Below are 18,786 nucleotides of genomic sequence, written 5' to 3'. Positions count from 1 at the left end.
GCTAATCATAAGAGTAAAACCCATCATATTTACAGTCCCAGGGCATTTTAGAATTCTGCCTGCTGCAGCTTCATTGGTCAATTCTATCAACTGTAGTTACAATAGCCAAAACAATTTTGAAAAAAAAGAATAAATTTGAGGATTTATACCATCTGATTTCAAAACTTGCTATATAGCTACAGAAATCAAGACACTGTTGTATTGGCATAAAGATAGGCATATAGCTTAACAGAATAGAATCGACAGAAATAGAGTTTATATTTACATTTGAAGGTTTTACATTTATAGTCAATTTTTGACAAAGGTACCAACATCGTTCAATAGAGAAAGGATAATCTTTTCAACAAATAATTCTGGATCAATTGGATATCCATAGCAAAAGGTAAATTCATACCGTTGTTTCATACTATATACAAAAATTAACTCAAGAGGGATAAGAGACTTACATGTAAAAAGTAAATATATAAAATTTCTAGATGAGAACATAGGAGAAAATCTTCATGATGTTGGGGTAGGCAAAGATTTCTTCTTAGACTCAATGTGAACCATAAAAGAAAACTTTGATAAATTGGATTTTGTCACATGAAAACTTTCTGCTCAAAATGAAAAGGCAAGTCACAGACTGGGGGAAGATATCTGCAGTACTTATATCTGATGAAAGATTGTGTATAGGATATACAAAGACATTCATCTTGGCTGTGATTGTGGTTACATGGCTGTATACTTTTTCAAAACTCAGCAAGCTTTATTTAAAATGTGCATTTTAGTGAATAAATTATACCTCAATAAAGCTGATTAAAATATATTAAAAGGATATCTTATTTGATTTATTTATTTTTTGAGATGAGTCTCGCTCTGTCGTCCAGGCTGGAGTGCAGTGGTGCAATCTTGGCTCACTGCAACCTCTGCCTCCCAGGTTCAAGCAATTCTCCTGCCTCCCAAATAGCTGGGATTACAGGTGTCCGCCACCACACGCAGCTAATTTTTGTATTTTTAGTAGAGACGAGGTTTCACCATGTTGGCCAGGCTAGTCTCAAACTCTTGACCTCAGGTGATCCGCCCACCTCGGCCTCCCAAAGTGCTGGGATTACAGGTGTGAGCCACCGCACTCAGCCTAAAAGGATATTTTAAATAATATTTACATGCTTTGATTAGTCTCCTTGGAGTACTGCAGCTTAACCATTTTTTGCTTTTTCACTCACTCAGCTTTTCCCCCTGGGGATAGGTAGTTTTTTAGCTAAGTGGAACAGAGCGACGCAAGGGGTTCAAATAAAAGATATATAGCCCTGTGGCATCTTATCAGAATATCAATATATTTGGAGGCTAGACTGGTGCAGTGGCTCATGCCCGTAATCCTAGCACTTCAGGAAATAGAGGTGGGCAGACTGCTTGAGCTCAGGAGTTCAAGACCAGTGTGGGCAACATGGCAAAACCCTGTCTTTACAAAAAATACAAAAATCAGCCAGGTGTGGTGGCATGAACCTGTAATCCCAGCTACTTGGGAAGCTGAGGTGGGAGGATCGCTTGAGCTTGGGAGGCAGAGGTTGCAGTGAGCTGAGATCCTGCCACTGTACTCCAGCCTGTGTAATAAGAGTGAGACCCTGTCTCAAAAAAAAAAAAAAAAAAAAAAAAAAGAAAAAGAAAAAAAAATACATGTATTTGGAGGCTAAAAGGAATCTGGGTTTTGGAGCTAGGGAACTGAGTTTCTACTCTGATTACATATCAAAAAATCCTAGCTTTACCCTTTGTGAGCCTCACGTCTCTGCTTGTCTACAGTGAAATGCCCTACCCATGGCTCAGCGATTTGTCTTATTCACATGATGTGAAGGTAAAGGGCTCAAGAAATGTTGGCCACTCTTATTCTAAAGAAATTCTCATGTAACTAGACAAAGATGTATAGAGAAACAATTTTGATTACAGAAAAAAACTGAGTGCCATCTAAACATCCATGAGTAGGGGACTGTCGTGATATGACTTATTATACAACACTATGCAGCTATTTAAAAGAATAAAGACAATCTCTATGTTCTGTCATGAAAAGATGTTTGTGATTACTGTAGATTTGTAGAAAGCAAGTTGAAGAAAAATATGTTTAGTATAATCTCATTTATGGTAAATGAAAACACAAAATGTGTGTATCTCAATTATGTGCAGAGAAAACTTAGCAGTTTTACTCTGCAGAGTGGGATTGCAGATGAATAGAGAGGGGAGATTTTGCCTTGTTTTTTTTGAAAATTAACTTCTTTATTGAAATATTTCAATGAGCATGTGCTACTTATTTTTTTTTTGAAGTTTTTTTAAATTATACTTTAAGTTCTAGGGTAGATGTGCACAACATGCAGGTTTGTTACATATGTATACATGTGCCATGCTGGTGTGCTGCACCCGTTAACTCGTCATTTACATTAGGTATATCTCCTAATGCCATCTCTCCTCCCTCCCCCGACCCCACGACAGGCCCCAGTGTGTGATGTTCCCCTGTGTCCAAGTGTTCTCATTGTTCAATTCCCACCTATGAGTGAGAACATGTGGTGTTTGGTTTTCTGTCCTTGCGATAGTTTGCTCAGAATGATGGTTTCCAGCTTCATCCACGTCCCTACAAAGGACATGAACTCATCCTTTTTCATGGCTGCATAGTATTCCATGGTGTGTATGTGAGCATGTGCTACTTATTAAGAAAATACACCTTTCATTTTTTTTTTTTTTTTTTTTTTGAGATGGAGTCTCACTCTGTCATCCAGGTGGGAGTGCAGTGGTGCCATCTCAGCTCACTGCAAACTCCGCCTCCCGGGTTCAAGCGATTCTCCTGCCTCAGCCTCCCGAGTAGCTGGGATTACAGGTGTGCACCACTAGGCCCAGCTAATTTTTGTATTTTTAGTAGAGATGGGTTTTCACTATGTTGGCCAGGCTGGTCTCAAACTCCTGACCTCAAGTGATCTGCCCACCTCAGCCTCCCAACATGCTGAGATTACTGGCGTGAGCCACTGGGCCCAGCCAGAAAATATACATTTCTAACAAATAAACAATCAGCACCAATCCTCTTGAACTGAGAGTGTTCTGATTGAAGTCTGTTTGGTATTTTGTGGATGGAGACTTACCTTTCTTCATTCCAAGGAGTGTATATTGTCATATATTGTTCTCTTTTGCCCATCCCAAATGGCCATCTCTTGAATCACAGAGCTGCCTAATGAAATCAAGTAGATGAATCAATGAATAGGAATAAATTGGGTACAGTTTCAACATAATTTTTTCCAGAAAAGGGGTTCTTTCTTCCTGTGACCTCTAACCTATTTAAGCACAATGGGGAGAAAAATGTGGGCTATGGCCACCCATGGGCTGGAATCTAGTTCTACCACTAATCTGATCTGAGATCTTGGGCAGGTCACAAGCTCTCTGGATTCTCTGAACCTGTTTCCTTATCTGTCAAATGAGCCAAATACTTGCTTTCCCAAGGCTTACTAGGGTAGTTGTGAGGTTCTAAAGAGATAAAGGAGGAAAAATACACCTGAGCCCAGGAGGTTGAGGCTGCAGTGAGCTGTGATCGTGCCACTATACTCCAGCCTGGGCGACAGAGTGAGACCCTGTCTTAAAGGGAAAGAAAAGGAGGAAAAATAGATTTTTGTCAGGAGTGCTGTAAAACTTGGTAGTGTTATTATTTGGAGAAGGTGATTAAACCTATCTAGGTGACCTTGGATTTATCACAGGTGCTATTTCCTGGGCCTAAAGATTGCCTAGTCTTTTTCCCAAGCTTTTGGTCAAAAAGCAGTGAGGAGAAAGAGCATTGCTTCAACCAGATGCCTAGAAAGGGGTGAGAAAGAAAACAAGAGCAGCATTTACTGTATGCTTGCTGTGGGCCAGATCCAAGTTACGTGATTTACATATTTTATATTGTTTGATCCTTACAACAAGGCTATGATTTGGCTATCTCAGGCTACATTTAGAGATCAGAAAGCTCAAGAATAAAGAATATGTAAGATAGGTGTGAACCCTCATTCATTCATTTAATAACAGTACAATCATGTGCTGCATAACAACATTTAGGTCAACTGTGGGCCGCCATCAGTAAAGTCACAGGGCAACGCTTTACTCACATGTTCGTGGTGATGCCCGATGTAAACAAACCTACTGTGCTGCCAGTCGTATAAAAGTCTAGCACATACAATTATGTATAGCACATAATACTTCATAATGATAATAACCATGTTACTGGTTTATATATTTACCATACTCTACTTTTTATCTTTTAGAGTGCAGTCCTACTTATTAAAAAAAAAAAAAAAAAAGGTAGCTGTAAGACAGCTTCAGGCAGGCCCTTTAGGAGGTATTTCAGAAGAAGGCATTGTTCTCATAGGAGATGACTGCTCCATGCATGTAATTGCCCCTAAAGACCTCTTCCAGTGGGACAAGATGTGGAGGTAGAGGGCAGTGATGTTGATGATCCTGATCCTGTGTAGGCCTAGGCTAATATGTGGGTTTGTGTCTTAATTTTCAACAAAAAAGTTTAAAAAGTTAAAAAATTTTAAAATAGAAAAAAGCTTATATAATAATATAAAGGAAGTATTTTTGTACACTTATAGAATGTGTTTGCCTTTTAAGCTAAGTGTTATTACAAAGGAGTAAAAAAGTTAAAAAAATTTCAAGTTTATAAAACTAAAAAGTTACAGTGGCTGGGCATGGTGGCTCACACCTGTATTTCCAGCACTTTGGGAGGCCTAAGGGAGAATCTCTTGAGGCCAGGAGTTCGAGACCAGCCTGGATAACAAAGGGAAACTCCCATCTCTATAAAAAATTAGCCAGGCACAGTGGCATGTGCCTGTAAGTCCCAGCTACTCGGGAGGCTGAGGTGAGAGACTGCTTGAATCCAAGAAGTGAAGGCTGCAGTGAGCCATGATCATACCACTATGCTCCAGGCTGAGTGACAGAGCAAGACCCTGTCTCAAAAAAAAAAAAAAAAAAAAAGGCCGGGCACAGTGGCTCACGCCTGTAATCCCAGCACTTTGGGAGGCTGAGGAGGGTGGATCACGAGGTCAGGAGATCGAGAACATCTTGGCTAACACGGTGAGACCCCGTCTCTACTAAAAATACAAAAAAAAATTAGCCGGGTGTGGTGGTGGCTGCCTGTAGTCCCAGCTACTCGGGAGGCTGAGGCAGGAGAATGTCGTGAACCTGGGAGGAAGAGATTGCAGTGAGCTGAGATCATGCCACTGCACTCCAGCCTGGGAGACAGAGCAAGACTCTGTCTCAAAAAAAAAAATTACAATAAGTTAAGGTTGATTTATTATTAAAGGAAAATGTTTTAAAAATAAATTTAGTGTAGCCTAAGTGTACAGTGTTTATAATGTCCACAGTAGTGCACAGTAATGCCCCCAGGCCTTCGTATTCACTCACCACTCACTCACTGACTCACCCAGAACAAATTCCAGTCCTGCAAGCTCCATTCATGGTAAGTGCCCTATACAGGTGTACCATTTTAAATCTTTTATACTGTATCCTTACTGTACCTTTTCTATGTTTAGGTACACAAATACTTACCATGTGTCACAGTATAGTATCAGTACAGTGACATGCTGTAGTTTTATAGCCTAGCAGCAATAGCTATACAATATAACCCAGGTGTGTAGTAGGCTAGATCATCCAGGTTTGTATAAGTACACTCTATAATGTTTGCACAATGACAAAATCCTAACGACACATTTCTCAGAATGTATTTCTGTCAAGCAATACATCACCGTACTAGTTACCAGGAATACAATTGTGAATAAATAAGTAGAAGTCTCTACTCTCGCAGAACTTACCCTCAAACGGGGCCCAGTTTGAAGTTTCTCAGCTGTCAAAGGGCAATGAGGGGATTCTCATTCCATTTTATACCACTCAGTTTCTGTCTCTAAGTACTGGCACCTTCTCACCCCAAGTTTCCTAGGCTCTTCACTTTAAACCCCCTATGTAGGGCCCAGAGCCTCTTCTCCTCCTCCCGCTGGACCTCCCCTCCTGGGGCTGACATTCTCCTCCTCCTCGTAGAACTCCCTTCTGGGGGATGACATTCTTGAGTATCCTGGGGTAGAAGATTGTTGTAACCTTTTTTCCCTCCCAGAGTGTGATTATCTGAGCAGAGGAAGCCTCCAGGAAAGCTGCATTACCAGATGAGTCAGCTGTCATCACAGCCATTACCTAATGCTGAACTGGGATGGGTTCAGGAAGCTGAAGTCAGTGAATATAAAACTAAGACTCACAGGTTTGGAACTCAAGGTTGCTGGAAGCAAGAGGCTGGCGGTGTTTCCACAGCTATTGCCAAGTCTCTACTTGTTCACTCTCTCCAGAGAACAGAACAGGGAGGTCTTCAAAAGTTCCATTTTAAAAGAAGCTGGTGTTTCTGAGAAGGGACTCTCCCTTTACAGTTTTTCTCAGTGAATGCTTTAGCACGAATAGACTACTCGGGGCAGGATGGAATAGGGGGAGGTGAGAAGAACAGGAGACAACGCTGGCTGGAGAATGGTAGGTAAGAGGAGTCATTAATAGGAGAGTCCCACAGACCTAGGTTCTCGTGCTGACTACCTAGGTTCTTAAGCTAATGTCCCAACACTGAAACCTCTTAGTGGGTTCCTTATGGGAAAGACCATTAAGATGATAACAAAATTGGTCTGCGTGAAGAATCAAGACACAGATACCAAAGGAAATAGAACACATCGGCACCAGAGTTGCTGATCTGTATCGCCTTGCTTAGAAGTATTGTTGCATGTTGGCCGGGCGCGGTGGCTCACGCCGGTAATCCTAGCACTTTGGGAGGCCAAGGTGGGTGGATCACCTGAGGTTAGGAGTTTGAGACCAGCCTGACCAACATGGTGAAACTCTGTCTCTACAAAAATACAAAAAATTAGCCTGGCATGGTGGCGCATGCCTGTAATCCCAGCTACCAGGGAGGCTGAGACAGGAGAATGGCTTGAACCCGGGAGGTGGAGGTTGCTGTGAGCGGAGATCGCGCCATTGCACTCTAGCCTGGGCGACAAGAGCAAAACTCCATCTCAAATAAAATAAAATAAAAAGTATTGTTGCATGTGCTAAATGTTACCTACCCCATGCAGCCTTTCTTAGTAAACTTCCTGGTTCATGGTCAGATTGTAAGGATAGTATGTCTAGTCTCTGTGTGGCAGAAAGTAAACCCAGAAAAATCCACTGCTCATTTCTGTAACTTTTCACTCTCTGAATCCGTGGGCTAACCGACCTGCTTTTCTTACCTGCAGTTGCTTCTTCTGAACTAGCCCTTTCTCTGCCCAGACATGGGCTTCCCACCCCTATTCCCTCAAGGTACTCTTCACTTAGAAGTTGCTTCCAGACTCAGCAGTAAACAGACAAATCTTCAGGTCGCCATTTCCTGTTATCAACTTTTTGGGGGCTTTTTCCTGGCTTCTCTCTACTAACACCTGAGTCATAGCATCCTAAATCAACTCACTGCATTCTCTTTTCCTTCTTCCCAGAATAAAATATCAGAGTAAGTCTTCCCTAATCATGCCTTATTTATTTTTATTCCTTTGTAGGTACTCAACTCATTATTTTGAAAACTGGGAAATAAAAGGAAAGAACTAAGTCTCTCCCTTTCTTATACAAACTGTACCACAGGGTAGCTGAATAGTTGGTAAGGGCAAGTCTCTCTTTAGAGAAGTATTTCGCTAATGAGTGAGAAGGGATAATAGAATTAATAGGCTAATGGGTCTAGGTAATGATTATCCATGCTTCCAACATCACAAAATAGAGACAGACATTATATGATGGAAGTATATACCACCACTTATGAATTAATCTTGACAAAATATAAATCTGATTAAACTTCTAGAACTAATTTAGGAAATACAGGGACAGAGGATTCTATAAGAATGCAATTAGGAAAACTCAGACTTCAGAAAAAACTATGGGGCAAATAACTGAGATTCTTGAAGAATTTCAAGATGAAAAGAGAGGTATGGGGAGCCCACATATTAAAAGAGACTTTAGAGGAATGCCAACCAATTGCAGTGTATGGACCTTATTTTGACCCACATTCAAACAAATACACCATAAGAAATTTATGATAATCAGGGAAATGTGGACATTGAGTAGATTTTTAGTAATATTAAGGAATTGTTCATTTTGAGGTGGGGTGATGGTATTTTAGTTATAATTTTTCTTTAAAAAATCCTTGTCCTTTAGAGGTATACGCTGAAATATATATGGATAAAGTCTATGATATCTTGGATTTCCTTCAAAATAATCCAGAGGATCATGGATTCTTTCTAAGTATTGGCATTCTCTCACCCCAAGTTTCCTAGGCTCTTCACTTTAAGCCCCATATGTAGGTCCCAGAGCCCTTTCTCCTCCTCCCCCTAGAATTCCGTCCTGGGGTTCACATTTTCCTCCTCCTCTTGGAACTCCCTTCTGGGGGGTGACATTCTTGAGTATCCTGGGGAGGGGAAATGAGTGGGAGTATAAATAATGCAAGATTGGCCATGAGTAGATAATTGTTTAAGCTAGGTGATAAGTACATGGGAGTTCATTATACAGTTCACTGTTGTATATGGTTGAAAAATCCACAACAAAATGATAAACAAAATTGTAAGGTAACCACTGGAAGAATGTATCTGGAATGTATAACTTCCCAACCAAAAGAGGGATCAAAAATGAATAAGAAACAACTGAATGAAAGCCAAGAAAAGGGAAAAAGGGTGTGTGTGTGGCAAGGCAGTGGCCGGTGCGGGGGTGGGGTGTCTAGAAAGCATTTTAAGGAGAAAACATGAAATAAGATGGCAGAAATACATCCAAATATGCCACTGATGAAATAGACATGGATTAAATTTTTCTATCAAAAGACAGATTGGGTTAAGAAATTAAAAATTCAAGCCAGAAACAGTGGTGGATACCTGTAGTCCCAGCTACTTGGGAGACTGAGGTGGGAGGATTGTTTGAGCCTAGGAGTTCAAAGCCAGCCTGGGCAACATAGCAAGACTTCATCTCTATAAAAGAAAAAAATTGGGAACACTTATTCTATTTCATGGAATGAAGTGTTGCCTGGTTCAGAAAAGAAAATTCAACTATATACTTTTTATAAGGGAAACTCTTTATAAAAAAAAAGTGAAGTTAGAAAATGAAGAGATAGAAAACTACTAGAGTAATGAAATGATCATAAAGAGAAATTAGGAGTAAAGCAGTTCAATAAGATATGGGATAGAATTAGCAACAAAGTGATCATCAATGACCTTGACAAGAACAGTTTCAGTGGCACAATGGGAGCTAAAGCCAGACTGCGTTTGTGATAAGCTGTACGTGGAAGAGGAAAAAGTGGAAAGGAAGAGGAAGGAGCTGAAAAAGCAAGTGAAGGGAACATATTTTCAGTTAGGGGAGGTGGTCTACTCATTTATTGGCCAGTTATTTATTGAGCCTGTATAAATACTGATGTGAAAAAGCCATGGGAGAAGGCGAAGTAGAAGAAACAGGTAGGGGGGGAAGATATTCCTGGGGAGGAAAGATGCTGAACATGATGAGACCCCAGGTACCAGGGGGAAACATTAGCAGCAGACAAGAAGAAAACACATTATTTTATTTTATTTCTAATTTATTAATTTGTCATTACACAAACAATACATAAATGCATATTCAAAAACATCAAACATTACAGTTAAAGCTAATGCACGCTACCAAACTACTGTTGACAGTTTGGTTAGTATCCTTCCAGACCTTCTCTCTATATAATACACAAATATGTACTTGTAGAAGTACACTATACAGTATTTGTGTGTGTGTGTGTGTGTGTGTGTGTGTGTGTGTGATGTGATTTAACATCACTAGTATCATATGTATTACAGGTATTGTCTTTCAATTTTTCCCCCAAACTTTTAACATTGTCTCCTGGAGATCCTTCCATGCCGGACATGTAGGACTCTCTCTTTTTCATTGATACTTAATACTTCATCATGTGTACCATAGTCCATCCTCTTGATGAGTATTTTGGTTTTTCCAATTTCATAGTATTACAGTAGCTCCCCCATCATGGAGGATATTTTCCAAGACCCTCACTGAATGCCTGAAACCATGAATAATACCAAACCCTCTATGTACTATGTTTTTTTATGATCTGATAATAGAAATGACTAATGGGCATTATAAAATGGGTATATAATGAGTGTATACATTGTGGATACACTGGACAAAGGGATGATTCCTGTCCCAGGCAGGATGGAGAGGGATAGTGAGAGATTTTTATTATACTATGCAGAAAGGTTTGAAGTTTAAAACTTATGTTCGTTTCTGGAATTTTCCATTTAATATTTTTGTATTGTGGTTGACCTTGGATGACTGAAACCTCAAAAAGTGAAAATGCAGATAAGGGGGTCTACTGTACAAGCAAAGGTGCAATTGACATCATTGTACAGGCTATCTTGTGAACACATGTATGTTTCTTTAGGACATTAAAAGTTGGAATTGTTAGGTCACAGGGTATGTGACTTTTAAAATTTAATGGGTGATACACAATTGTCTTTAAAAGAGGCTGTGCCAATTTGTATGCTCACTAGCAATGTATTCCTGTTTTTCCACACCCTTTCCAGCTTTTGATTTGTATGCACGCTAAATATTAGTTGGATCTGAGATGGTTTCTTGTGTTTTAATGTGCACTTCCCTTATTTTGCTGAGATTGAGCTTCTCTTTATAACCTATTTGTAAAGTTCTTTGCTTATGTGCATTTTCAAATGGACAGGGTATATAGCTTCATAGCTTCCAATTTCTAAAAGGGAGTAACCAAAAAGTAGAAGACTAACTGCTAGTCTAGCTAGAATTAATTTTTGTGAAAGATCTAACTTTATATTTCTTCTAAATTGTTATGCTATCCCATACTATTTGTTGAATAATCCATTTTTTCCTTACTAATTTGAAATGTCACTTTTATTACTTACTCAACATATTATTTGTGTTTCTGGATTCTCAGCTGTATTAGAGATTTATTTTTGGTATCAGTCACCTGAGTTATTCTTAACTTGGTTCATTAAATGGTAGCTGATTTTGTCAGCCAAGATAATAAGTGTCACTTGTTGCTTATGAGACAATAGACAATATAATTCATGACACATGAATCCTATTCTAGTTAACTTTGATTTAAATCAATTTCATTATCTACAACTTAGAGTATTAAAAATGTGTAAACTTTTCTCAGATTAGTTCCTCTTTTTTAGGGAATACTTCATAGGCTCGATGTCGAGGTGGAAGGCTTTTCCCCTCCTTCTAAAAGTATTATTTGATGTTAAAGCTTTCTGGTGATTTAAAGTTGTTTCCTGGCAATATCAAAGGATTTTTACATGGGATGGCAATATTACTGTTGATTTATAAAAACCTTTCATTTAACAAATGATATAAGGTTCACAAACTATAACATATACTCTGAATAAACAATATGGCACTTTAACTTTTACACTTACACTGGACTGAGCTCATTGGAGCACACAAATCATGTCCCATTCATCTTTCTATCCCCAAACATCCAGTACAGGTTGCAGCACCTAAATTGAAATAGAATTAAATTGCATGTCAACATTTTTTTTATAAAATAAAAAAAAGAAACCTAAATTTCTTGAAAACATCACTTTTAGGGTTTTACAAAGTCATACATGTTTCTTTTTATTAGCCACTGACCTGTTATTATTTCCATCTCAAGTGTGGGGAAAATGTTCCCTTGCTGTCTCTGATCTTCCTCAGGTATGATATGACCTATCTATAGATACATTGCATGCCTGTGAAATGACAGCAAGAACTGTGATCCGGATAACATTTGGATTGCAGCAGGCAAGAGTATTTTACAGTTGTTATATGGAAATATTGTAGGCATGCAAAAGAATGGAGAGATGAACTTAACTTTTTTATGGAGAAGTTGAACTGTGGCATTTGCCTTGTTTTAAAATTCAGTTGTTTTTATGATCTAAGTTAGCACACCTTTCCCTTCCCTCCAAGGGGATAAATATGGCTTCTGTGGACAATGTTGTAGTCTGTAAACTTAAATACTATGGACCCATGACAGTAGACAATGGGAAAATTCCCCAAACTGCCTAGTCTATCAGTTTCCCTGCTGAGAATGAAAAATAAAGCTAACTCACTCACCATCCAGGTATGCTGAACAAATTCAACAACTAAATGGACTGCGCCAGTGCAAAATACCAGCGTCTTACTTTGCCATCACCAATCTGAAAATCTGTCTTATTTTTCTTATTTGATGATTCCATGGCGGGGTTCGGGGGGGTGGTGGGCAAGCAAGAATGTCTGTGAACTTTAACTTGCTTCAGAGTGCCTCACTTAGCATTTTCATCTATGAACACAGCATGTCATACCAATTGTACTCCACAAAAGATATAGTTACAGTAGCACTTGTATAAAGTAATCCTTGCAACCTATGAAGGAAAGCCATACATTTAAAGGGATCTTGCTGTAGAAATTCTGTGAACTGGTACAGAAATACAGGACAAAGATGTATCCTGAAATATTGAAAAGGAGTAAATGGGGTGCAAGTATACATCACTAAATAATAAACTATTACTATTGCTAGAAAATAGAAATATGGATTATTAAGAGGCTTGAAGCAGAAGGAGGTGGGAGAAAAGGTCTGGTTTTGGATAGGCAGGAGACTTAGAAAAAAGAAGCCTGCAGGACTGACCTATGTCAAAGAATAAAAGGCTAAAGCCTAGCAAAACCTATTCTGCCTTGGGCTGTCAGTACCTACAGTGGGGGCCAGAACCTGTATTATCCTTTCCAGGGAGCAAGGAATAGATTTTAGGGAAAGGCTTTGGAATCAACATCCTAATCCTAGTCACCATAAAAGGATTCCATTTAGTTTACCTTTAGGGTAGAATTGAGAGACAGGCATAGTGACAGCAAAGGTTCCATTCCCCAACCCTTTTGTTAAATTCTTGAAATCCCTTTAAGGAAACAAAGACTTTCATTTCACAGATTTATAACTGTTGGAAGGAAAAGACCGAGTCAAACTTTCAAGTATGAGTTGGGACTCTTTAATCTTTTTTTGGAGGGACAAGAAAATAGGCAGCTGGGTGCGGTGGCTCACGCCTGTAATCCCAACACTTTGGGAGGCCCAGGCGGGCGGGGGAGATGACTTGAGGTCAGGAGTTCAAGACCAACCTGGCCAACATGGTGAAACCCTGTCTCTACTAAAAATACAAAAATTAGCCTGGCATGGTGGCACACGCCTGTAATCCCAGCTACTCAGGAGGCTGAGGCAGGAGAATCGCTTGAACCTGGGAGGCGGAGGTTGCAGTGAGCCGAGATCTTGCCACTGCACTCCAGCCTGAGCACAGCAAGACTCTGTCTCAAAAAAAAAAAAAAAGAAAAAAGAAAAAAAGAAAATAGGCACCTGATACCTGACACTGGGAATGGGATGTTCATTGTGGAGAGGAAAATGGTACAGAAAGACCCAAGACAAACTTCCTTCATGACCTTCACAAAATTGCCTATGTAATTTTGCCCTTTCATTTATTTTCCGGATTGTCATCCCTCCTAAATTATTTCTCAGCTTCCAGTTTCAGCTACTCTAACCTACCTCCCATCTGCCACTGGAATTGTGCACATCCAGCATAATTTGAGCATAGTATCCCATTGCTTAAAACCATTCAATAAATCATTCTTGCTTTCTGAATAGATGCCAAAATACTAGGTCAGTGGGGAAGTCACTGCCTGCCTGTCTCCAATGCAATTCTGTGGCTGCCCTAGGAGCCTTGTTTATACTTTTAAGCCATTGAGTTCTCTTTTCTTGTGCTTGGAACACCCTTCCCTCTGGCTCTTATGACCTTCAAGACTCAGGTGTCATGTTTTTGAGGAAACCTACCCTGACAAAACCATCCCTGACTGTACATAGTAACAAGTATTCCTCACTGCATTATCAGTTGGCTTATTATGTCCTCAAATTGTCAATTTTGAGGGCTGGGTTTTGTCCTTTTCATAGGATTATTAAAGAAATGTCACAAAGTGCTTGCCACTGAGCCATAAAGCTTCTTTTAAAAATGTGACTTCAAATCTTAAAAATTGTTTCCAGACAATTAGCTATTTCTGGTTCTGCAAAGATAAATTTTCAAGAACAGAGATATTCTGGTTCTATTAAGACTTTTTTTTTTTTTAAAAAAAGGTCCATGAATTACTGGAGTTTGCAACTTGGAGAAATATAATCATTCACCTGTGAAAATTCTTGTGAATAATGGCAGCTGTGATCCCCAGTCACTGGAGGCTTGATTATAAAACGTTATCTCAATACTTCTAATTAGCATAGGATATTATAAATAGAATTGGAAAAATTCAGCTATTTTGGACAATCAGGAGTTAAGGAAACTGTTTATTTAATGCCTCCTAACCCCTACTATTTGTTTTTGGTGTGGCAAGCTGTGAGATCACATCGGAACAAACTAAATTTTATTTGGGGAAAGTTAGGTTTGAATTGTAGACAATTACCGTATCAGAAAAATTTCTACTTATGATTTACCGGCTAAATTAAAACAGAAAAGCTTATGTGGGACCTTGCTCTATGGGCATTACACTGACAGAATTAGATAGATGGCATTCCTGTAAGACTGTGCCTCCAAATTGGGATCTCAATCAGTTAATATTTACAACTATTTGGAGCAGGAGACTAAATCTCCAAAGCTGAATTGGAAGTTACTTAAGATCCTAAACAATCAGCTGGGGGAAGGGTTGACAGTAGGGATAGTTTGGATTTTGAGGGGAGGGGATGATGGGAAAGCAGAGGGCAGACACCACAATAATTCTGCATTTTTGAACAATGGACCATGAGTTGAGTATCTTCTCCTGTCGTTACACTGGAAAGCTTATTATTTAAGGCTCTAGATACATACTGCCAAATTACTTTCTAAAAGTACACAGGAAAGCCTGTCTTTCTTTCTATGTTAAGTCCTGCTACTTAGGACACTTATTACAATTCGCCAAAAACATTAATTTGCATTTCTTAGGTTACTAGAGGTTGAACCTTTAGAAACTGCCATTTATCTCTTCTGTGAACTACCCATATTTTCTCTCCTTTTCTACTGTTTTTCTTAATATAAAAGTAGTAATAACTGCTGTTACCATTTTAAACCTTATTATTCATTTCCTTGGAGACTATTACTTTGTTTATGAAGTGTTTTTCCAGCCCCAGAATCAAAATGGAATCTATTTTCACAAAAATCCCATTTCTAAGACTAGTTTTTCTCCACCTGTATTAAATATCACATGTCACAGTTAGCACTGGAGGGGCACAGCCAGCAAACCTTTTCGGTTAACAGTCCAACAGTGAAGTTTCACATTCCATTAAGTATCTCACCTGTAGCAGCTCTACTTGGAATCTTACTACACATCCTTAGGGTTGCTTACTCAAGCCTATGTACTTAGTTCCTTGATTTATAATGTTATTCATTAACATTTTGTTCAATGTCTTGCAGCACAACTAGAATAGAAAATATTTGGCAATCTCATGTACATCCCAATTTTATGCCTTGTTTGTTTGTGGCTAATCTGATTAAATTTTTACTTCAAATAAGTCTTTTAACACGGAGAACTAACTACTGGTTCTCATTAACTCTGATTAGCTAGCTGGCTACAGATGCAGTGCATGTTAATTTCTACAGGCACCTTTCTGAATTCAAGTAAAAGTTTTGGTAGACAAGGATTTCCTACTTAAGTATCACTAACATAATATGAATATTGAGTACAAATATTGCTCACTATTTTTGCATTCTTTAAATTGTTTTACTTTGAAAATTTAAGAACTATCAGTAAGTCATTATTAACAGGTCTTTAAGGAGTATTTTGAACTGTGAAAATACAAATCTAGTCAAATTTTGAACACATATAGAGCCAAATATTTCAACAAAACTGCAGTTTAATTTCAGAAAATGTTAAAATATATATTTATACATCAATTTCTGACATACACTTAATGTGTTAGTATACACAAAATGATGCTTTCTTTTGAAACTGTATTTATGAAATGTACATTTTAATTTAAATACTCAGTATACACTGCACTTAATCTGCATGTTGCATTTATTAAATACATTAAAATCTGCAATGTAACAAAACGTTTTCTGCATACGAAATTCAAAACACCATTTTAAATGAACAAAAGATGGCTCACTTTTTTTTTTTTTTTTTTTTACAACTAGTGTATTGTACACTAGCTCAGCTCCACCAAACTACCTGTTCGTTCTCTTTTATTTGACATTGTTCACAGACTAGTACATATTACAATAAGAGTGCTGGATAAAAACATGAGGTACGAAAGTGGTTCAAAGATTATAGGTCATGCAGATCATGCTAGACAGTAAAGAAAATTGTGACTGAGAAAACACTAAATAAAAATACATAAAGAATGTGCATTATAAAAAAAAAAAAAGACAAAAAAAAAAAAACAACAAAAAAAAACCAAACTCCATTACACAGCTTTGCTTCTTTGGTTACAAAGTAGGTTGAACAATTTCACAGCTTTTTATTCCCACCCGAAAAAAAAGTCATACGAAATGTTGAAAAGCAGAGGAATCGTGGCAATTTCTCTTAGAAAGTAGAAACAAATGAACAAAGTTTTCTTCATCAAAATAGCCCAATTATTTATCATATCACAATAACTGGTGACTACCTGTACAGTTGCACTATGTTCTTCATACTTACACTATACAAAATTTACATTCAAGCTGGGTCTTTACTACTGAAAATAAATACCATAAGTAAATTGCCATTAGTGTTAGAAATATGCCAGGATTCTTTTGTTCAATTATTGCCTAAACGTTTTATCTATTAAATGCAATCCTGTCTTTCACTTCCTTTACTGATACTTATAATTATTCAAAAAAATTAAAAAAGTTCTGTGACATTGTTCATGTACATTATGAAAATAGCAGCCCTGTAATAAATAAAACACAAATAAATGAAAACTTATGTAGGCAAATGTTACTGAATCAGAAAGAAAAGTGGCTCTTTAGATGAACTGTTATTTATAATGTGATAGGAAGGCTCAGGGTAAATCCATGGGTAATAGGAAACATGGGAGAGCCACCAAAACTCTTAAAGACCCCACTCATGCGCACCAGGTAAAATGCAGACTTTGCTCGCTTTAATAAACCCCATCTATTATTCTCCTTGTGTACTGATGACATAGAACTGGACATCAACAGCGCTGCATGACATCTCAGAGAGAGGAAAAGCTCTTGTAGAATGATTGTCTAATACTGAAAAGGCCAAACACACAACCAAAGCATGGCTACTTGCTTTCGTATAAAGTGGAAAGAACACCAGTGGCACACAAGGATAGATTGCTTTCAGTTTTTTTCTTAATGAGGCTTAAGAAAGCTTTATGCTGAGGAGACATTCGGCTGCTGTGGAGGTTGCGTTGGCTGCGGAGGCTGTGCTATCACTGCTTGCTGTTGAGAAGTGCTACCAGGATTGGCCTGTTGGGTTGGGAGTTGGGATAATTGATCATTGCTTGAAAGAGATTTTAACAGTGCATTTTCTCGTTCAAGTAAAGAGTTTCTTTCAACTAATTCTTTTATTTGTTCCTTTAAAACTTCCACTTCTTCTCTTACTGCATACATCAAATGGCTTTTCACCAGATCCTGTGAAAAACAAAATTAGGAATGTCAAAAGAGTGAAAAGATAAAGGTGGTGCTATCTGGTTCTGGCCTACTTGGTGCTAAGTTTTTATACTAGTTTTCCTGCTCTTGCTTTTAATGTTTCTGCTTTATCTTGACCGAGCCTATGGAAGATGGGTTGGAAAAAATCCAGTTCCCAACCAGAGCAGTAAGCCCAGAATTTTCTTTTCAAAGTTTGGGACGATTTCCAAAAAATACTAGCTTCTTAAATTGTCAACTAAGCTTAGAATTAAAAAAAAAAAAAGTTTAAAATCACATGCTTAAAATGGTAGATAAAGAGAACAAAGGAACAATATTCCAACGGAAAGCTGTTTGATGTTAAACTAGTCATAGTACTGCTTTAAAGTGATCTGTAATTTTGGACTTTAAAATTTTGGTATTTTTAAAAAAATAGTTTGAGACTAACAGTCCTGTAAGGTCTCACACCGGTAATCCCAGCACTTTGGGAGGCTGAGGCGTGTAGATCACCTGAGGTCAGGAGTTTGAGACCACCTTGGCCAACATGGTGAAACCCCGTCTCTACTAAGAATACAAAAATTAGCCAGATGTGGTGGTGTGTGCCTGTGCTCCCAACTACTCAGGAGACTGAGGCAGGAGAATCACTTGAACCTGGGAGGTGGAGGTTGCAGTGACCCAAAATCATGCCACTGTACTTCAGCCTGGGTGACAGAGCGAGACTATCTCAAAACAAACAAAAATACCAACTTTTTTTGTAGAGACGGGGTCTTGCTATGTTGCCCAAGTTGGTCTCAAACTCCTGGCCTCAAGTGATCCTCCCACCTCAGCTCAGGTGCTGGGATTACAGACACAATCCACTGTGCCTGGCCTACTTATAGCTTACTTACAGTCTACTTCAATCAGACCTCCAGCTGTTTTTGCTTTAATACTCTTTTTCACTCTAAAGTATTTTCAATGCTGAAATATCTGGGGAACATATTGTCTTTAAATATGTATGCCCCCTCACCAATGGCCCTTATCAATGATAATGCATGAAATGTGAGATATTCAAATGGAAGAAATATCTACTTAAATAGTATTTCTAGACTAAAAGTTCTCAACGTTCTAGCATCTTCAACTAAATCTCATTATCAAAAAACATGATTTGGTCATCTTTGGTTTAAATAACTTATTTGTTTTCTAA

General features: G+C 38.4%; 1 protein-coding gene across 3 annotated transcripts in view, besides 1 other annotated feature; it reads right to left on the bottom strand.

Moving 5' to 3' along the window:
- Nucleotides 6,257-6,757: an enhancer, noted in NCBI's record as "H3K27ac hESC enhancer chr3:150187015-150187515 (GRCh37/hg19 assembly coordinates)". NCBI's record gives its function as "activates a minimal SCP1, AML or CMV promoter by ChIP-STARR-seq in naive H9 embryonic stem cells {active_cell/tissue: H9 hESC(naive)}" and the evidence as "EXISTENCE:reporter gene assay evidence [ECO:0000049][PMID:30033119]".
- The window catches only part of TSC22D2 (TSC22 domain family member 2), a 58,125-nt gene continuing 48,901 nt past the window's right edge, over nt 9,563-18,786 (bottom strand). For all 3 annotated transcript variants that reach the window (NR_130136.2, NM_014779.4, NM_001303264.2), the window contains one exon: nt 9,563-17,609. Coding sequence is in view for 2 of the 3 variants with exons in the window: in NM_014779.4 (NP_055594.1) it covers nt 17,349-17,609 (261 nt within the window). In the remaining variant the exon portion in view is untranslated. The remainder of the gene's footprint in view (nt 17,610-18,786) is intronic.

Source organism: Homo sapiens, chromosome 3 (genome assembly GCF_000001405.40).
Source record: "Homo sapiens chromosome 3, GRCh38.p14 Primary Assembly".
Classification (NCBI taxonomy): Eukaryota; Metazoa; Chordata; class Mammalia; order Primates; family Hominidae; genus Homo; species Homo sapiens.
Note: the sequence above shows the minus strand (reverse complement) of the source record. Positions and strands in the feature narration are given on the sequence as shown.